General features: G+C 42.8%; 1 protein-coding gene across 4 annotated transcripts in view, besides 1 other annotated feature; it reads right to left on the bottom strand.

Annotated features, from left to right (window-relative positions):
• OPCML (opioid binding protein/cell adhesion molecule like) overlaps positions 1 to 19,104 on the bottom strand; it is a 1,117,521-nt gene that overhangs the window by 664,521 nt on the left and 433,896 nt on the right. The gene's annotated exons all lie outside the window — the stretch shown is intronic.
• Positions 3,312 to 3,671: a silencer, noted in NCBI's record as "silent region_4085". NCBI's record gives its function as "represses an Ori minimal core promoter by ATAC-STARR-seq in GM12878 lymphoblastoid cells {active_cell/tissue: GM12878}" and the evidence as "EXISTENCE:reporter gene assay evidence [ECO:0000049][PMID:35858748]".

Raw genomic sequence — 19,104 nt, forward strand, 5'->3', positions numbered from 1 at the left:
ATATGAAAAGAGGCTAAAAAATGGCTAAAACAAATCTGCCCGAGTACTCTACACTTGTTCTGGGGTGACAAAAAAATGACTGTGACACCCTGCAAAGTGCACAGCCAGGCGTGGCCACCCACTGTAAGAACCTCGGGAGGTTCCCATTTCATCTCTTGCACCAGCTCACCGTGTGACCTCACAAATTCACAATTTCACAATTTGTGAATTGTGAATTCACAAATTCACCACCCCCTCCACTTCCGCCTGCCTGTTGTAAGGTGAGAGGAAGGACCTATATGTTCCCCAAGGTCCTGTCCACCTCCCGCATCCCCCAACCTTCTCCATCCTGCTGCAGGCTCTGCCTTTTGCTCCATAATGATGCCAGAGACATGCTGAGGTGCCCGTCCAAGGGGATGGAAGATAGGCATCACTCTCCCTTTTCACAAAGCAGCTCATTGGGAATGCCTTTTGAACTTCAACCATGTTAGAAAAACAGTTTTACAGAATTAATTCAACATAAGGAGGAGCATTTTAGCAGAAGTGTGTAGAGAGTTGGGAACAGAGCAATGACCAGAGAAGAAAACTCCTTATGGTCTATGAATAGGGTCCCCACTCACCCTACCCATCCACAACAGAGCCAGAACTACTGGCCAATCCACAAGAGCTACAGCAACCCAGCCAGATGCAGATGGCCGGATGTATAGACCTGACCTGGAATCAACCTGCGGGACTGTAGGATGGTAACTCTCAGACTCCAGTGTGTCCCCTCATCACCCATGCGGTCTTGTGAGAATGTGGGTTCAGCTTTGGTAGGTCTGGGATGATGCCTGGAACTTTTGATTTTCAACAAGCTCTCATGACACTACTGCGGCCGGTGTGTGGCCCACACGGTGAGTAGGAAGGCCCTAAGAGGGAAGATGAAGTAGAATGCCAACGATTCCATACTTGCAGCGGCACCGTGAGAAAACATTCCCACTTTGGTAATCAAATGTTTTTTTTTTTTTTTTTTTTCCTAAAATAGGCTTTAGTCTCATCTGTGGAATGTTTTAGGTATAATGCTGCCTGAGACAAGACGGTTAGTTGAGAGGACACCCCCAGGTCTGGGGTGCCATATTCACACATTTCATTAAACAAGTTCCTCCCTGCCCTCAAATCAGCAAAACACCCAAACCCACTGTGCCCGTTTATTTTCACTCATTCTATTGAGGAGCCATTTAGCACCTTGAAGCTGGAGAGAGAATCAGTATAAAAGCTCTTGTCGCTATGAAGGAGCTCAATGGTTTTTATTGCTTCCATCCTTTAAACACCTTGCAGGCATCTGTTTGTTCACCTCTTCATTCATTCATGATTTACTCACCTAGGCCTTCTGCATGCTGAAGCCTGTTCTGGAGGCTGAGATATCGGTGCAGAACACGACTGTTCATGGGTCTCGGAGTCTAGTGGGGACACAGGTGAGTGGAAGAGTGGGGGTGAAGCGTGCATGGTGGGGAAAGGGGCTTACCGCCAGGCCTTATTAGCTTTTGGTGAGAGGACCAGTTTCAACATTATATCCACAAACATAAATTGGAAGTGTTAGAATTGGAAGGACCCGAAGCCGAGATAATCAATGTAGCTATTCCTTGTAGGACACTCCTGCAGCATCCCAGTGTGCTCCTGACTTCAGGGTGACAGGCGCATCTGATGTCCCTGGTGGAGAGGGGAGGTATACCCATCCCTTATATTTACAGGACTTGGTGCTTCCATCTGGAGGGTTAGGGCTCTTTGAACAGTTAATTCTCCGTTTCCTTTGGGATGTCAGCCCCGTTGGTACCACCTAGCAGACATCTCTGAGGATGCGGCATCCTGCTGATCATTTAAGTGAACGCCTCCTCCACTAGATCACAGATTCCGCAACTTAGGAACTGAGGCTGATGATTCTCTGCTTTCCCAATTCGTAACCCAGTGTGTGCTACAAAGCACAAGCTCAACGAATATGTAAGGAATTCGCAAGTGGCTGAGCGAATGAATGAAGCGCTCTTACACAGGACTGTATTTGGTGTTCACAGCTCGTCTTTTGTTTTCCACATCCTGAGCTGGAGTAGATTGACTTCTCTTCTTGAGATGACAGACGGAGGCTTCTATCACATTCTCCCTTTGGATAAGCCCAATAGTGTATTAAATGCACTCCTGCTCTAGGGGGATCCTGCTACTGGACCTAAGCACCTCCTCTTAACCCCAGGGGGAGGCTTTGTGGGGTACATCAATGGTACTCATCACCCAATCCAGAATCTCCTTCTAGAAGGAGAAACTGAGGCCACAGTAAACATCCAGCCCCCGCCGTTCGAATGGCAGGTGAAGCGCTGGCAGCGCCCCTCCCCGCCCCTCTCCGCATACAGCCCCCACCCTTCTCAGCAGCCTTCAGCCGCCAGCGTGTGCTGTGAGGCCCTTTCTCTTCCAGGCATCTGTCCCTTGCATCCCAACGGGAGCGCGGTCCCCTGGGAGGCGTCCCTCAGCAGCCCCGGGAAGTTCTGTCCCTGCTCCCGAGTGTGCCCAGAGTCCTGCCGTTTCCTTCTAGCGCGCGTTCTTTACTGGCGCCATTCCTGCTGCTAAGAGCCCTGAGACGGCCGGGGGTGACCCGGGCCCAGAGCAGCTCCCGGCTCAGGGACCCCTCCCCAGGCCAAGGGCAGGACAAGCCCGGGCCTGGGCCTCCGCCTCGGCTCCCCTCCAGCCTCTAGAGGAGCCCCGCGTCCGCACGACCCGGGGTCCTGGGCCACTCCGGGAGCCCCTGGAAGCCACCAGCTCCCGCGCTGGAGTCTTGGGGCCTTGGGTAGGCGAGCCGGGCTCCACCCGGCTGGGGCAAAGGGAAGGCCGGGTCTGCCCAAGGCAGAGGACCCGCTGCGCCGTCCCCTCCCCACCCTCCCCTCTTCCCCTCCCCCGCACCCCTCCTCTCCTCCCTATCCTCCCCCCTCCCCATCCTTTCTCTTCCCCTCCTCCCCATCCTCCCCATCCTCCCCTCCCCACGCTCCCCTCTTCCCTTCCCCACCTGCCACCCTCCCCTCCTCCCCTCCTCATCCTCTCCTCCCCCTCGCCCATCCCCCTTCCCCTCCTCTCCTCCTCATCCTCTCCTCCCCCTCGCCCATCCCCCTTTCCCCTCTTACTACCCCCGCCCCACCCCGTTCTGCGCCGAGTGGCACAGCCCTCGGCACGGCACGGCCCTGTCAGCTACGAAGCCGGGCGAGGGGCTCAAGGCCCCTCTGGAGACCGCTTCTCCCCCGCGGCCCGTCCCGCCGCTGCGGACCCCATGCGCGGCCTCCCCGCCCCGGCGCCTGGGCCTCCTCGCGGCCCGGGCGGGGCCCACCAACCCGGAGAGGTCGCCAGCCTGCAGGGTGCCGGGGGCCCCTCCGAGCCGACCTCGTCCCAGGCAGACGCGCTGCCCGGAGACCGCCGCAAGGGGGCGCCAGGGGCCGGGGCGGACGTCGCGCCAGTGCCTCGCCGGGACCGCACCTCGTCCGCGCGGCCGCCAGAGGGCGCCCGTCAGCGCCGGAGCCCGCGGCGGACGCCCCAGCCGAGCCCAGCCACTGCCTGGTGGAGCCACAGGGCACCCGCCCGGAAACACCGCCTGCGCCCCGACGGCACCCGTGTGCGCACCACACTCACATCACACACACCACGCACACACACGCACACACACACACGCACACACCCCGCCGAGCGGGCCGCACAGTCACTGGGGCGCCGCTCGCTTTGCTGCCTTTCCCGCGGGTGCACTGAGCGGCGGGAGCGGGAGCCGCGGGCTTTGCCTGAGCCGGGCGCGCGCTGTGGTCTCACTCCCAGACCCGACCCCTCTGAGCTGCCCCTCTCCGAGGCCCCGCGACCGCATGCGTGTGTGCTCCCACTGCCCCAGCCTGAGTCCCGGATACTGGTGCCCCTGTCTCGGGTCGCTGGCTGCGGAGAGGGCTGGCCTGAGGGAGCCAACCCCACCCCACCCCAGCCTGGGAAGGGCCAGAGAGGGGCCAGGCAGGGCCCCGGAAGGCTCGGCCCATGCATCCAGCGTGCCTGCTCCCAGGAATTGCACCTGGATTGTTCCAGCCATTGAGTGGATAAATCCACATCTCAAAGCTGGATTCAGTTGCATGTTCGCCACTTGCAATGGAAAGAGACCTGGCACTCCATTCATACTGGAACAGTTATCTTGGGTTTGGAGTATTCTGCAGGATATTCCTTTGGAACACGGCCTCGCCACTGGGGAGAGACCACATCTCCAATAACGGGAGGCCCATGTGGAATGCCAGATGCCCTCCAGACCAGCCCAGGATCCCACATGGGCTGTGAGCGCGAGGACAGGAAGGATTCGCTGCACGGAAGGTTGCGGAATGACGGGATGATGAACTTGGTAGATGTCCCAATCCTAAATGTTCTCTCTTTGAATTCTTACTGTGTGAAAAATTCATTTGGCAATTAATCATATACAGCCTTGTGACATCTTTTCTGTTATTGTCTGGAATTGTTATTTCAATCCTTTGTTACTAATTGACTTTTTGCATGCTCCCGCCTCGTCTCCCTAACTAGATGGCAAATTCTTTGAGAGCAGAGACCTCTCTTGACATTTTTTTTTTAACTGGCAAGCGGAGACTGTATTGTGCATTGTACCTACCCACAGAAAAGATCTGTAGGGCAGGCCTTATTGGTTTCATTTTATAAATTAGGAAAGTAACTAATGGTAATAGCTCCTCCAGGAACAAACAACTAGTAAGTGGCAGAACCAGCATTCATACCTTGGCAGTTCTCCAAAGCCCACCCCCCAGACACCTGCACAGGGCCTTGCACACCCTGCGCACTCCATAAACATCATTTGGTTCTTATCATTCTCAACCATCAATGTTTTAAGAAGGCTAATTAACATCCGATGAAGGTCAATTTTCAAATTCAAGTTTCGTTGTTTAGTTTCCCAGAAAGAGGTGTTAAGCTTCAGCTGAGAGATTCAGCTTCCACAAAGAAAACTTCATACCAGGGAGGCAAATATTGACGCAGGCATCTCTTGAGGGTGTCTAAGTTTGAAAACAAAGCACTTCCTCCTTTAAAATGAAATTGAAGGATATTCGGCTTGGCTTGGAAGCCAATCTGGGGTCAGGCAGCACATCACTGGGAGGCGTATTGGGGCGCTCCAGGCAGTCGGACAGATAGGGCCTGGCCTGATCAGAGAGGTCTGGCCCCAAGCCCAGCTCTCTTGCTCAGCCTCATGGGGTCTCCATGTCCTTCTGCACTGCGAGTATGAGATCACCTGTTATATCTGTGGTTTTTATAATGTAACTCCCATCATTTCTATTTAAAACCTTGCCATTTTTTTTTACTTAGAACTCAAACTCAAATTCAAGCATGAGTGAGCATCTACCATACAATATAGATTTATTATAAGAACCATGATATAAAAATACTGACATCAAAAGCCTCCACCATATTGTTCATCTGTTCAAAGTCCGACTCTGCTTTCATTACCTACCAAATAAAGATTAAACCATGTATTATGTCACTCAAGGACTGAAATATCTCATTCCTACTTACTTTTCTAAGTTTATCTCCTTCACTTTCCGTTTATGTAAAATCCAGCTAAATGGACTCCTTTATTTAATGTTGAAGTTCATCCTTCCATTTAGATCCCACTTCCTTCATGCCTTTGCCTGGAAAAATATATTTATGTCTTCACTGATTCATACAACCCAGTGCATTTCATGAGTAGCTGCCTACTATGTGCCAGACATGGGGCTCCACAGTAGAACTACAGATCTGCCTGGGATTGACAGAGTTCACACCCTGTGTTCAAACGCTTCTCTTTCATGAAGTTTCCCCTCATTACCTTCCATACACAATACCTCCTTTCTGTCTCTGCCACAGCCATGTTACACACAGCTCTGTGTTTTAATTAGCTGTGTGCATGCCATTCCCCACACCAGACACTAAGCTCTTTGAGATCAATGGTGGTGTTTTCTTTATCTTTAAAGAGGATCCCTTTGGTACCCAGCACATAGAGCAAAAACTATTTGTTGAATTGATTTGAAAGAGCTTTCAATGCATTTGGCAAGACAAACCTTACCTAGCAATTAACTAAGAAGGCAGTGGTGTAGCCTGATGAATGTAATTTATATTCTCATACAATAAAGTACCAAGGCATATGTTATTGATGAGAAAGGAGTGCTATGTAACAGAATGTTACATGAATTAAAGATCTTACAGACCAAAAGAAGGTAAAAGTACATGTGCACCTCAAAGACAAGTCGGAATTTTGACGAAGGTCTAAATAGGCATTCTAGGTTGGAAAGAACTAGAAGAGAAGAGAGACTTCTTGGGTTCTAGTGTATATCTGATCTGAGAATGAATTATAAAAGTAGAAGGCAATCTAGGAGATCATGCGTATGTTAAATCTGCAGTAGCCAAGTCATCTCTGGAAGCTAGTTGAATTGTTTAATTAACCTGTCGGTTCATCTAATATCTAACTCGGCTCCTTCCTGCTGCAGTTGAAATCCTTCTTTGCTTTATTCCATCCTCAGAGAAAATAGAGGACAGTTAATGATCCCTCTCTGTGCATTTCAGAAGATGGTGTAAAACAGTGCTAGAGAAAGCCTTTTAATCATATATTTCAAATATGCAGATCCAAAGGTGATAATTCAAGCACAGCTTTAAGATTTTTCAAATACCTTATTCCATCTGCCTTGCTCTGATGGTTTCTATGAACACATTTTCATTTTCTAAATCTGGAATTAGTAGAATCTGCTTGAAAAGGGATATTACAGTCAAGTGATGTTCTCAATTTGAGGTGTAATTATTTTCCCCCATTTTAAAAGCCTAACATAAAATGTGATGTGATTTTTTTTTCAACTTTGCAAGGGACATCAACTTTTTTATGTCTTCAATTTTTTTCTCTGAGCTTCCTACAACTTGGAGAATAATATAAATAAGAAAGGAAATGCAGATAAGTTCAATTTCTAGTTTGCAATAAAAAGTCAATGTATTGTCTGATAAATGTCCTCCTCTTTACCCCATCTTCTTCCTGTAGATGAAAATTCTGCTTAAATAAATGAAATAGTTGGCAGATAAAGATTGAATATATTCAAGGTGTACAACGTGATGATTTGATGTAATGCATGGTGTAATGCATGGTGTAATGACTGCACAATCAAATTAAGGAACACATTCATCACCACCCGTGCTGTACCTTAGGTCCCCAGAAGCTGCTCATATTGGAACTGAAAGTTTGTACCCTTTGACCAGTATCTCCCCATCCCCCTACACTCGCAGCCACTGGTAACCACTGTTCTACTCTGCTTTTATGAATTTGACTTTTTAAGATTCTACATATAAGTAAGATCGTGCGGTACTTGTGTTTCTGTGTCTGGCTTATTTTGCTTAGCATATTCTCCAGGTTCATTCATGTTGTCTCAAGTGGCAAGATTTCCTTCCTTGTTATGAGCTTATTCTCAAATCAAAATTCTTCTGGATGCTACATTAACCCTTAGAACCTAAGTATACACTTGAGCCTGCCTGAGATGAGATTGCACTTAGAGTCAAACATCAAACATCTTAGCACTGAGAGGAGCATTTGAGATCATCGAGTTCAAACCTATAATTTAACAGACGACGAACTTAAGACCCAAAGAGGTTAAGTGACTGAATGAAGGTCACGCTGCTGGTTAGTGAGAGCTGAGGCTAGGACTGAATTGCTGCTTAGGCTCTTTCAACATTATCGTTATATTTACCAACATTTTCCAAGTTGATTTTTTTAAATAGCAGTTTTGAAGAAGATGTTAATAAGCATTTTCTTTCATTGTATAATTTTAAGTATTATTTTAGGTGTAGGGGCTACCTGCCTAGGTTTGTTAGATGGGTATACTGTGCGATGCTGAGGTTTGGAGCACAAATGACCCAGTCACCAGGTAGTGAGCCTAGAACCTAATAGGGGGTTCTTCAGCCTTTGCCCTTCCCTCCATCCCCCTTCTAGAAGTCCCCAGGGTCTACTGTTCCCATCTTTATGTCCATGTAGACTCAATGAATAAGCATTTTGAATGAAAAGAAAAATATGTGCTGGACCAAGTAAACTTATAAAACATCAATTTAACCTGCTCTGCTTCACAGAGTTTAACATATTAATTTTCTGTCGCAACCCGAGAGAGATATTTAGCCAACACGTATGACTACAGACTATTTTTAAGTTAACATTTAGGAGCATCTATTAATATATCTAACATGCCAGCGTGCCAGAGAACAGTATTTGGAAGATGCTGCTCTTGACTAGAACCCTGTAGAGGTATGATCGAGCTTGACAGCAAATGCTGATGCTTACAGGCTCTTTCCCGCACTGGCTAGCTGAGCAGTCATAGGATCACACTACCCAAACTTCAAAGCCCTCATCTGTAAAACGGGCACTCAGCTCTCTTACTAGACGGTTAGGAGATGGTATAGCAGAGTAAAATGTGTGAACTGTAATTATCAAATTGTATTTGTGACAGCTTGCCAAAGTATCCACTGTGTAGCACGATAAAATAAATATATGAGAAAAAGTGTGTAATAAGAAGGTAAGGGTGAGAAATAAAATACAACTGCATAGAAGTACATATCAAAATCCATGTGAAAAGTCTTATATTAATGTTGACAGTGGATGGCACATTTGACTTTGCATTATTAACAAAAGAGAAAGAGTACTATTACTTACTGTAGGCAGGTAGTACACAAAATAACCATGAACCTTTTACATGGGAGAACCACGGCTTTGCTAAGTACTGAGACAGAAAACTTCATGGTTTTCCATTGACTCTTAAAAGCACGGATTGCGAAGTCACGTAGTTTCACCTTTGCCTCTAACTTAGTTAATTTAGCAAATTACATCATTTCCATAAGCCACCATTAACTCTTTCATACAAGGGGCAAGATCCAAGTGACCATGAGTGCTGTGCCCATGATGTGGGATAGTGAATGCCATTCCCTTCAAAACAGCAAGCTCACACTCAGTGACAGTCCCAGTGGACACTGCCCTCGCCAATATCTTCCAATATCAAAGAGAAATTTTGTCATCTGTTTCTTTTGCCATTGGCTTCCAATGAATTGGGTTACAATACCAAAGGGGATTGCAATAAAAATCACTTGATATCAAGCTAAAACATGCGGTGGTTTCAGTTTAATTCAAATAGTGGATTAATTATATAACATGGATAAATAACTTTCTGCAACAAGACTTTAAATGAGAGTGGAACAATAGAATTATACAAGATATGCTTCTGACAAACCCCTGGAACGCAGGTCATTCATGTTACCAACCCAGAATGGTCTAAATGTTTTGGTTACCATCTGAGAGGGGGGCAGGTTTGGCAGTGCTTCTAAAACGGGGAGAATAAGTAATCATGTCCCCATATTCTAACACATTAAGCATGACTACTATAATTTCATCCCAGAAAAATTCCAAAGCAAGTGATATCAATCATCTATCAGAGCAATGAAAATATCTCCAAAAGTTCCCATAGGATGGCTAATAGTAAGTAATGTAGTTTCTAGATGAACCCGCTGATATACACTGATTGCCAAATGTATCACAATGTGATGGAGTGATTTGACCCATAATATAGAATCGTTGGATCTAAGCCAATTAAATTTTGAAGGGCAAGTGCCAAAAAGGAGCAGCTGATCTTGAGCCAGTCTTTCTGATAATAGTAAGTGAGCAGAACCAATTGCCTGTTCAGATCATAGCTACTATGTGACAAGTAGAGATATACAGATAGTATCTGGAAATATGACAAAAAAACAGGCATACATTATGCCAAAAGAAGATTCTAAGGAGAATGTGAGTAATGAATACACTTTAACAACAGCACTATCATCTTCCAGATTATTTTCTTTGAAGAGAATTTTACTTACCTAGATAAATGTTATTTTTGTAAGTAAAATTACAAGTATTTATTCTGTGTTTCTTATTAATTGTAAACCACTTTAGGGCTAAGCATTAATTGTATTAACTAATGAATTAACTTACTCGTTTGGAGATATTTGCTGAGCATCTACCAGGCAATAGCAACATACTCTGTGCTAAAGGCAAAACAAAAGGCTTCTGACAAGGTCCCCACTCTCTAAGGGCACATAATTTAGTTGTTCTGGGAGTCACACAGCTGAATTCATTAAGAAATAAGAAAGAATATGATTAAGTCCCTGATAAATGGTACAGGCAGTAACTACGTACTGAAGTACAGAAAAATGGGATACATTTGGAACTGAAACTATCAGAGAAGGATTTGTTGAGAAGGGGGGACTTCAACCAACCCCTAAAAAAAAAAACCCAGTGGCTTATGTTTGATAGAGACATTGGGGAAGGAAATTGAAGCAGAGGAATTACACTCAAAATCTGCTGTCAATGATTTAATAAACAGATGCTTATTGAGCACATGCCACGTACTTTGGCACTGTTCTAGGTGTTGGGAATAAAATGGTGAGCAAAAGTTAACAGGTTCTCTCCTAATGGAGCTTACTTCATAGTGGGAGATACACTAAATATCAAAAATGTACACAGGTAAATTCACAAGGACTGTCTCCTTGATGAAACTTTAGTCTCCTCTGAATCCTCTTCTCTACTAGGCCTTGTCGTTGGCTCGGTTTTAGCCAAGAATCCTGCTGAGCCCATTTATGGAGCATCCTCTCCGCCCTTACTACTTAGACATGCTTCTCCTCCTAGATACCTAATCACATTCTTAGTAATTCTCCATCCACTCCCTTACCTCGCCTGCCAACTCAAAATCTCTGCTTGTCTCTGTTATATTTGGGGTGCTGCTGCAACACATACCTAAAATGGGGACATGGCTTTGGAACTGGGTAATGGGCAGAGGCTGGAAGAGTTTGAGATGCATGCTAGGAAAAAACCCTAGATGGGTATGAACAGAGCATTGAGACTGATTATGATGAGGGCACAGAAGAAAAGAGCTTTACAGACAGCCTAAATCTTCTTAGACATTATCAAAGTGGTCATGAACAGAATATTGGTAGAAATATAGATGGCAAAGGCCATTCTGATGAGGTCTTAGGTGGAGACGAGAAATAATGTATTAGAAACAGGAAGAAAGGCCATCATTGTTACCAAGTGGCAAAGCACCTGGCTGAGTTGTGTTCATATCCTAGTGCTCTGTGGAAAGCAGAGTTTAAGAGTGATGAACTAGGAAATTTGGCAAAAGAAACCTCCAAGCAAATGTTCAGGGTGCTGCACAGCTTCTCCTGACAGCTTATATGAAAATATGAGAAGAAAGAAATGAAGTGAAGACAGAATTTATAATTAAAGAGAAAGCAGAACTTAAAGATTGGGAAAATTTTCAGCCTGGCTAGATTGTGAAGAACAGAAAAGTGTGTTTGAGAGAGAATACCCAGAGTATGGCCAACCTACCATTTGATAAGGATCAGTATGGTTAGAAAGAAGCTAGATGCTATTCATCAAGTCAATGAAACAATGACCCAGAGGGCATTTCAGAGATTATCAGTGATGCCATTTCCTAGAGTGCTAAGGCCTTGAGGGTAGAATAGTTTCAAAGGAGAAGCCCAGGGCACCTGTGGGACCTCAAACCTGAAGACCCAGGGATGACTAACATCTCTGTTTCTCACATTCTGCTGCAATGTTCCTTGGCTTCCCCAGCTGTGGCTCAAGTGGACCCAGGTGCAGCTTGGGCCACCACTTGATAGGGCACAAGTGGTCAGCTTTGGTGGTGTCCACATTGTGCTAATTCTGCAGGTGTGTAGAGTTCACGAGCTGTGAGGGCATGGATGCTTTTACCTAGATTTCAAAAGATGCCTCAGAGAGCCTCAGGGCCCAGGCAGAAAACTTCCACAGAGCCAGGGCCATCACAGAGCATCCTCACTAGAGCCACGTGTAGTGGAGCTGTGGGAATGAGTCTCCCCCATACCACAGAACTGTACAGCCACCAGAGTGCAACGCCAGCCTGGGAAAGTCACAGTCACGCACCTCTTCAATAATGCAAACTGAAGTGTGGGCTATCCCCAGCAAAGCCGTGGAGGTGAGGCTTCCTGAGGCCATGGGGGCCCAACCCCTGAACCAGTGTGTCCAGGAGGTGAGACATAGGGTCAAAGAAGATTACTCACAAACTTGAAGATTTAATGTCGTTTGCCCTAGAGTTTTGGATTCTCTTGGGACCTACTACCCTTTATTTCCCCCTATTTCTTCCTTTTAGAATGGGGATGACTATCTTATGACCCTCCCACCATGGTATTTCAAAAGCATATAATTTGTTTCATTTCACAGGCTGACAGCTGGAGGGAAATTTCTCACAGGATGACTTGTACCTTGAGTCTCACCTATATCTGATTTAAACGATATTTAGATGAGACTTTAGATTTTAGAATTTTGAGTTGATGCTGAAATGCATTAAGACTTTTGGGGCTATTGAGATGGAATGAATATATTTTTCATGTGAGGACATGAATTTGGAGGCGTAGGGGTGGAATTTTATAGTCTGAATATCTTCCAAAATTCGTGTGCAGAAACTTAATTTCCAATGTGATAGCTGTAAGAGGTGGGGCATTTGAAAGGTGATTAGGTCATGAGGGTGCAGCCCTCATGAATGAGATTAGCAACCTCATGAAAAAGCTTGAGGGGGTGAATTTACTTCTTACATTTCTTTAACCATGTGAAGACACAGCATCCATCCCTCTGGAGGAGGCAACGGGGCACTACATTGGAAGCAGAGAACAGCCTTCCCCAGACACCAACCTCTCGGCACCTTGTTACTGGACTTTGCAGCCTCCAGAATTGTGAGAAATAAATGTCTGTTGTTTATAAATTACCCGGTCTGTGGCATTTTGTTACAGCAGCACAGACCAAGGCAACTGATGAAAAGAGCTGGGCATCTAATACAAGGTCAACAAAGTGGAGCCCTTCCCTGAAACTTTCAGACTGAGAACCACAAAGAATGAGGGTCAATCACAGAATAAAACTCAAGAGCTGGCTGGGTGTGGTGGCTCATGCCTGTAATCCCAGTACTTTGGGAGGGAAGCTGAGGCGGGCAGATCATGAGGTCAGGAGTTTGAGACCAGCCTGGCCAATATGGTGAAACCCCTGTCTCTACTAAAAATACAAAAATTAGCTGGGCATGGTGGCGCGCACCTGTAGTCCCAGCTACTCAGGAGGCTGAGGCAGAAGAATCACTTGAACCCGGGAGGCGGAGGTTGCAGTGAGCCGAGATCACCCCACTGCACTCCAGCCTGAACAACAGAGTGAGACTGTCTCAAAACAAACAAACAAAAACAAAACTCAAGAGCTGTTAATTATCTTGTTCTTTCTCTGTGAGAAGGTTGGTACATCTTTATGAGATAAAGGAGCAAATGGTGGAAAGAGAAAGGAGAGAGACAGAGAAAGAGAGAGAGAGAGAGAGGATTTCTGGCAACAGCATTTAGTTCCTAGTGCCAGTTATCCCTGAGACCCAGCTGCACCCATTCTCATCCCATAGTTTGCCTATAAGAGATATCCAGTGTTCATCTAATAAACCCCACTATTTTCCTAGGCACTTTGAATTAGAGTCTGTAACTTGGAACACAAATCTTTGATAAATGCATAGTAACTATAATAATTATTATTATTAATTTTTGTATTTCAATAGGTTTTTGATGAACAGGGGTATTTGGTTACATGAATAAGTTCTTTAGTGGTGATTTGTGAGATTTTGGTGTACCCATCACCCAAGCAGTGTACCCTGTACCCAATGTGTAGTCTTTTCTCCCTTGCCAACCCCCCCAACCTTTCCCCTGCGTCCCCCAAATCCAATGTATCGTTCTTTTTTTTCCATTTTCATTCTTTTTTTTAAAATTTACTTTAAGTTCTGGGATACACGGATACATGTGCAGAATGTACAGGTTTGCTACATAGGTATACATGTGCCGTGGTGGTTTGCTGCACCTATCAATCCATCATCTAGGTTTTAAGCCCCGCGTACATTAGGTATTTATCCTAATGCTCTCCCTCCCCTTGCTCCCCGTAACTATAATTATCAAGCAACTGTTATGTGCCCAGCACAAACGTAGGTAATTTATGATTAGAATTCCACTTAATGCTCATAGTGATCTATGAAATTGGTATTACTCTCAGAAAATGGGGCCTAAATTCAAGCCCATATTGGTCTGTCTCAAAAGCCAGTAGCAGGTGAGTGGTAGGCATTCATTAACTGTAGCTTAGAACAATACAGGTTCACTGGAGTAGACGGTTTTTTCTCCAGGTGATGTGTCTGACTGACGTTGAATATAGACTGTGTAGGTTCTTCATGCTAAGGTTAGCAATCTGTACTTATTTTTTTTTTTAAACAAGAGCCATCAGAGTAATGCAGTGGGAAAAGAAGGCAGCACGATGCAAATGTCATCTCTGCATTCACATCAGTCAATTCAATTCACTTGAAAAACAGAATAGATAAATCTTAATTTTAATCTTTGAGGAAATATAAAATTAAGTCAAAGTCACGAATGTAAGTGGAAGGATATGTCCGGTGGATGCATTGTCTATGTGGTTTATTTTTTCTGCTGTCATCTGAGTGCTAAAAATCAGGTCCCCTCGTGTGTCTAAATATCAGCCTTATTTTAATGGCATTATTCTACTTATCTGGACCTGGGATAAAATATTTCAGTAAAAAAAAATATGCAGGTGCAGCTATAATTATGTACCTGTACTGAGTGATGCGAGAGTAGCTGTTAATTACTTTGCCTTTGAGGTTTGCAGATCAAAGTTTCTTTAAATAAAAAAATGGTATATGTTTGAGCCAAGAAGGTGAATCACAGTAAAATATTTAACACTAACTGCATTTGGCTAAAGTCGGGTTGCTTAAAGGCCAAATTTACCATACAAAGTTTAGGACTCTGAAAATTCCATACTAAAAATCTGTCATACCAGGGGCAAATGTTCAGATATTATTTTCAAGTCTACGACCCATGATGATCCCTTAAAGAGCCATAGTCAACCTTTCCAGTTGCTTTGCAAATCATTCCAGTTTGTCAGTCCTTTCAATGCCACCATCTCAATGACCTAGAGCAGGTGACAAATGGTATTACTGATGTTTTTACAAACAAAAATTTGCTCAGAAGCATTTTTTAGTTGTTTATCTTGTTAGTAGACTATATTCTGCAGCTTCTATCATGATGCAAGTGTCTGGATAAATGCCTAAATCACCAGAACTAACTATGAGTCTTTGTTTATTCAAATAGCAAGAGAGAGAAAAGCAGTCACAACTTATTAGGGAACCAATGTCTGGAATGAACTATATGCTTACACACTCAAACACCTGCATTAAAGTTCTCTTGAGATGCTAGAAATGAGTTTGCAATAACTGAGTCTTGAAGTATGTATCTAACAGATGTTTGAGTTTGGGAAGATTTCATGACAACATGAATATAAAAATAGTACTGGGATATAATATTAAAATTTTACCCCAGTGATGCAGGGCATTCAAATAGCAGGTTTGAGCAAATATTTATTCATCTGCTTGCTGGTATTTCATATACAAAGTTCAATTATGTATGCACTGGAAAGTTATCCCATCATATAGTGCATTATATTCCCAAGGGGAAATCAAGAGTGTCGAGAGATACTGGAGCTCCACACGATATGGTTGTGTCAAAGTTCAACATTGGCATATTAATCATGTAGCTGTTCTATTGGTGCCAGACAGTATCTCATTGGATCAACATACAATAAATTGTATGCTCATCTTCATCTACTAAGATGTTTTCTAGCCACATCTTCCAATAAAATAGCCCTGTTGGCCCAATTTGCTGAGACTAAGATGATTTTAATGTAAATGTTTTTTTTTTTTTTTTTTTTTTTTTTGCAGCTGCACGTGTATTTTTGTTTAGGGTGAATATGACAGAGTAAAGACCACGGGACCTAAGAAACCAAAGGGAAGGAGTGAGATAATCTCAGGTTTGAGTTATGGGAAGGAATTATGGAAAAATCATGACATTTAATCTTTAGTATCTTGCAAAATACCAATAATTAGCAGGCATGAAGGAAGTAAATAAATGAGAAAATGAAAGGATGGATTTAGTACCTTCAAAAAAATGCAGAAAGCTTACCTATTTTAAATCTTACCTATTTAAAGTATATCTAGTATGCTAGTGAAGGGAAAGGTTTTATTTGGAACTACTGATACAGTAGTCATGAATTCTAATAAGAAAAGCCTACACATTCATATTCAAATTTCAGAAAATCAAAGATAATGAAAAAAATTACAAAAAAAAATCAGAGGAAAAGACCACCTTATCTACAGAGGAGAAAAGATAAAAATTGCATCTGACTTCTCAGAAACCATGTAAGTACAGAGTAGAGTGAAACAAGTAAAGTGTTGAGAAAATCGAAACAAAACACCAACCAAGAATTCTGTACCCTAAGAAATTATCCTTCAATGGTGAAAGAGAAAGACTTGCTCTGACAAACAAAAATTGAGAAAATGTGTTGCCAGTAAATCTGCCTTTCAAGAAATATTAAAGGAAGTTATTTAGAAATAAACTATATGTCAGAAACTCAGATCTACATAAAGGAAGTGCACTGAAGAATGAATAAGTAAAATCAAAATGTTTAGTTTTAAAATCCTTCACCGATCTAACAGATTATGTTTTTTTCAAAGTTATAATAGCAACAAGGTATTTGTGCACAAATGTGTGTGTGTGTGTGTGTGTGTGTTTATGTGTAAGTGAAATGAATGATAGCAACAATACAATGGATGGGGAATAAATGAATTTAGGAATATTTTGTTATTATAAGGTACTTGAACTACCTTTAAGATACTTCCTACCCATGAATAGGTATATTATTATATTAAAGTTGACATAAATTAGTTGTGAATGTATAGTGTGAACTCTAGGGCAACCACTAAAAAAATGGTTTTTAAAAAGTACAATTGAAATGCTAAGAAGGTGGTAGGAGAGAAAATGAGATTATGTAAAATGCTGAATTAAAAACACAAAAGAAAGAAAAGGTGTGGAAGACAAAAAAATAGGAACAAAGAATAAGGGCAACAAATGCAAAATAGTGACACATAGAGTACATGTTAATCCAACTGTCAATAAGCACTTTAACATCAATGGTCTGAAAACATCGATTAAAACAGAGATTTTCAGAGTGGGTCAAAAACAAAACTCAACTATATATTGCCTACAGAATCCCTTCTTAAATATAAATATTATATAGATAAAAAGTAAAGAGACAGAAGAAAATATGCCATGGTAACACTATTTAGAGGTAGTAGGAGCAGATATATTAATTTCAGGAAGCAGATTTCCTGAAATCTGAAATTAGAGCAAGGTAAGTCATCAGAGATAGAGATGGGGCAATATATAATCATAAAGGAGCCAATATTCCAAGACGACACAGCAATCTTTACTGTGTGTGCACTTAACAACAGAGCAGCAAAATATACAAGACAAAAAACTGATAGAACCGCAAGGAGAAACAGATGAATCCATGATTATAGTTGGGGATTTTAATGATTGTCCCTCTTTCAGAAGTGGACAGATCCAGCAGGCAGAAAATCAGTATGGACATAGTTGGACTCAAAACTGTCATGAGTCAATTAGATATAATTGAAATCTATAGACTACTTTATCCAACAACACATGATCACACATTCTTCTCAAGCTCATGTGGAACATTTATCAAGACAGACCACATCCAGAACTGAAAACATACCTTAAGAAATGTAAAAGACAGAAATTGCGCAATGTGTGATCTCACATCAAAATGTAATTAAACTAGAAATCAATAACGGGAAGATCACTGGAAAAATCTTAAGATACTTGAAGATTAAACAATCCACTTCTAAATGACCCGTGGGTCAAAGAATAAATCTCAAGAGAAAATTTAAAGTATTTTGAAATAAACGAAAATGGAACTTATCACATGCGTGTGATGCACGTAAAGCATGCTTAGATGGAGATTTCTAGAAGAATGATCTAAAACCAACAATCTAATATTCTGACTTAGAAAACTAGAAACAAGAAGAGGAAGCTAAATCAAAAGTAAGCAGAAGAAAATAAATAGTACAATTAGAACAAACGTCAATGAAATAGAAAAGAGAAAATGAACAGAGAAAATCAATGAAACCAAAAACTGGTTCTACGAAAAGATCAATAAAACGAATAAGCCTCTAGCCAGAATAATTAAGAAAAAAAGAGAGAACAACCAACTTACTAGTATCAGAAATGAAAGAAGGGACATCACTACCAACCCATGGACATTAAAAGGATAGTAAAGAAATATGAACAACTCTGTACCAACAAATTTGATGACCTATATGAAACAGACCAATTTCTTGAAAGATATGTCTGCCAAAACTTACACAAGAAGAAATAGACAATCTGAATAGTCCCATGTTGACTGAGGAAATTAAATAAATAGTTAATAGTTTAATAAAGCAAAAGGAACCAGGCCCAGATGGTTTCACCAGTGAATTCTACTACATTTTTAAGGAAGAAATTATACCAATTCTCTACAATCTCTTTCTGATGATAGAAGTAGAGGAAATAACTCTTAATACTTCATCATTCTATGAGGCCAGCATTACCCTAATACCAAAACCATAAAAGATACTACAAGGAAAGAAAACTACAGATCAATATTTCTCATAAACACAGAAGAAAAATCCCCAACAAAACTTTAGCAAATTCAGTCCAACAATGTACAGAAAGAAATATACGCTGCTACCAAGTGGGATTTATCCCAGGTATGCAAGGCTGGTTAAACTTTTTTTTTTTTTTTTTTTGGAGATGGAGTCTCACTCTGTCACCCAGTCTGGAGTGCAGTGGCACGATCTTGGCTCACTGCAAGCTCTGCCTCCCGCGTTCATGCCATTCTCCTGCCTCAGCCTCTGGAGTAGCTGGGACTACAGGCGCCCGCCACCACACCTGGCTACTTTTTTGTATTTTTAATAGAGACAGGGTTTCACCATGTTAGCCAGGATGGTCTCGGTTTCCTGACCTCATGATCCGCTCGCCTCAGCCTCCCAAAGTGCTGGGATTACAGGTGTGAGCCACTGTGCCCATTCGGCTGGTTAAACATTCTAAAGACAATTAATGCTATTCATCACATCAACAGACTAAAGCAGAAAAATCACACAATCATATCAATAGATGCAT

Source organism: Homo sapiens, chromosome 11 (genome assembly GCF_000001405.40).
Source record: "Homo sapiens chromosome 11, GRCh38.p14 Primary Assembly".
Lineage (NCBI taxonomy): Eukaryota > Metazoa > Chordata > Mammalia > Primates > Hominidae > Homo > Homo sapiens.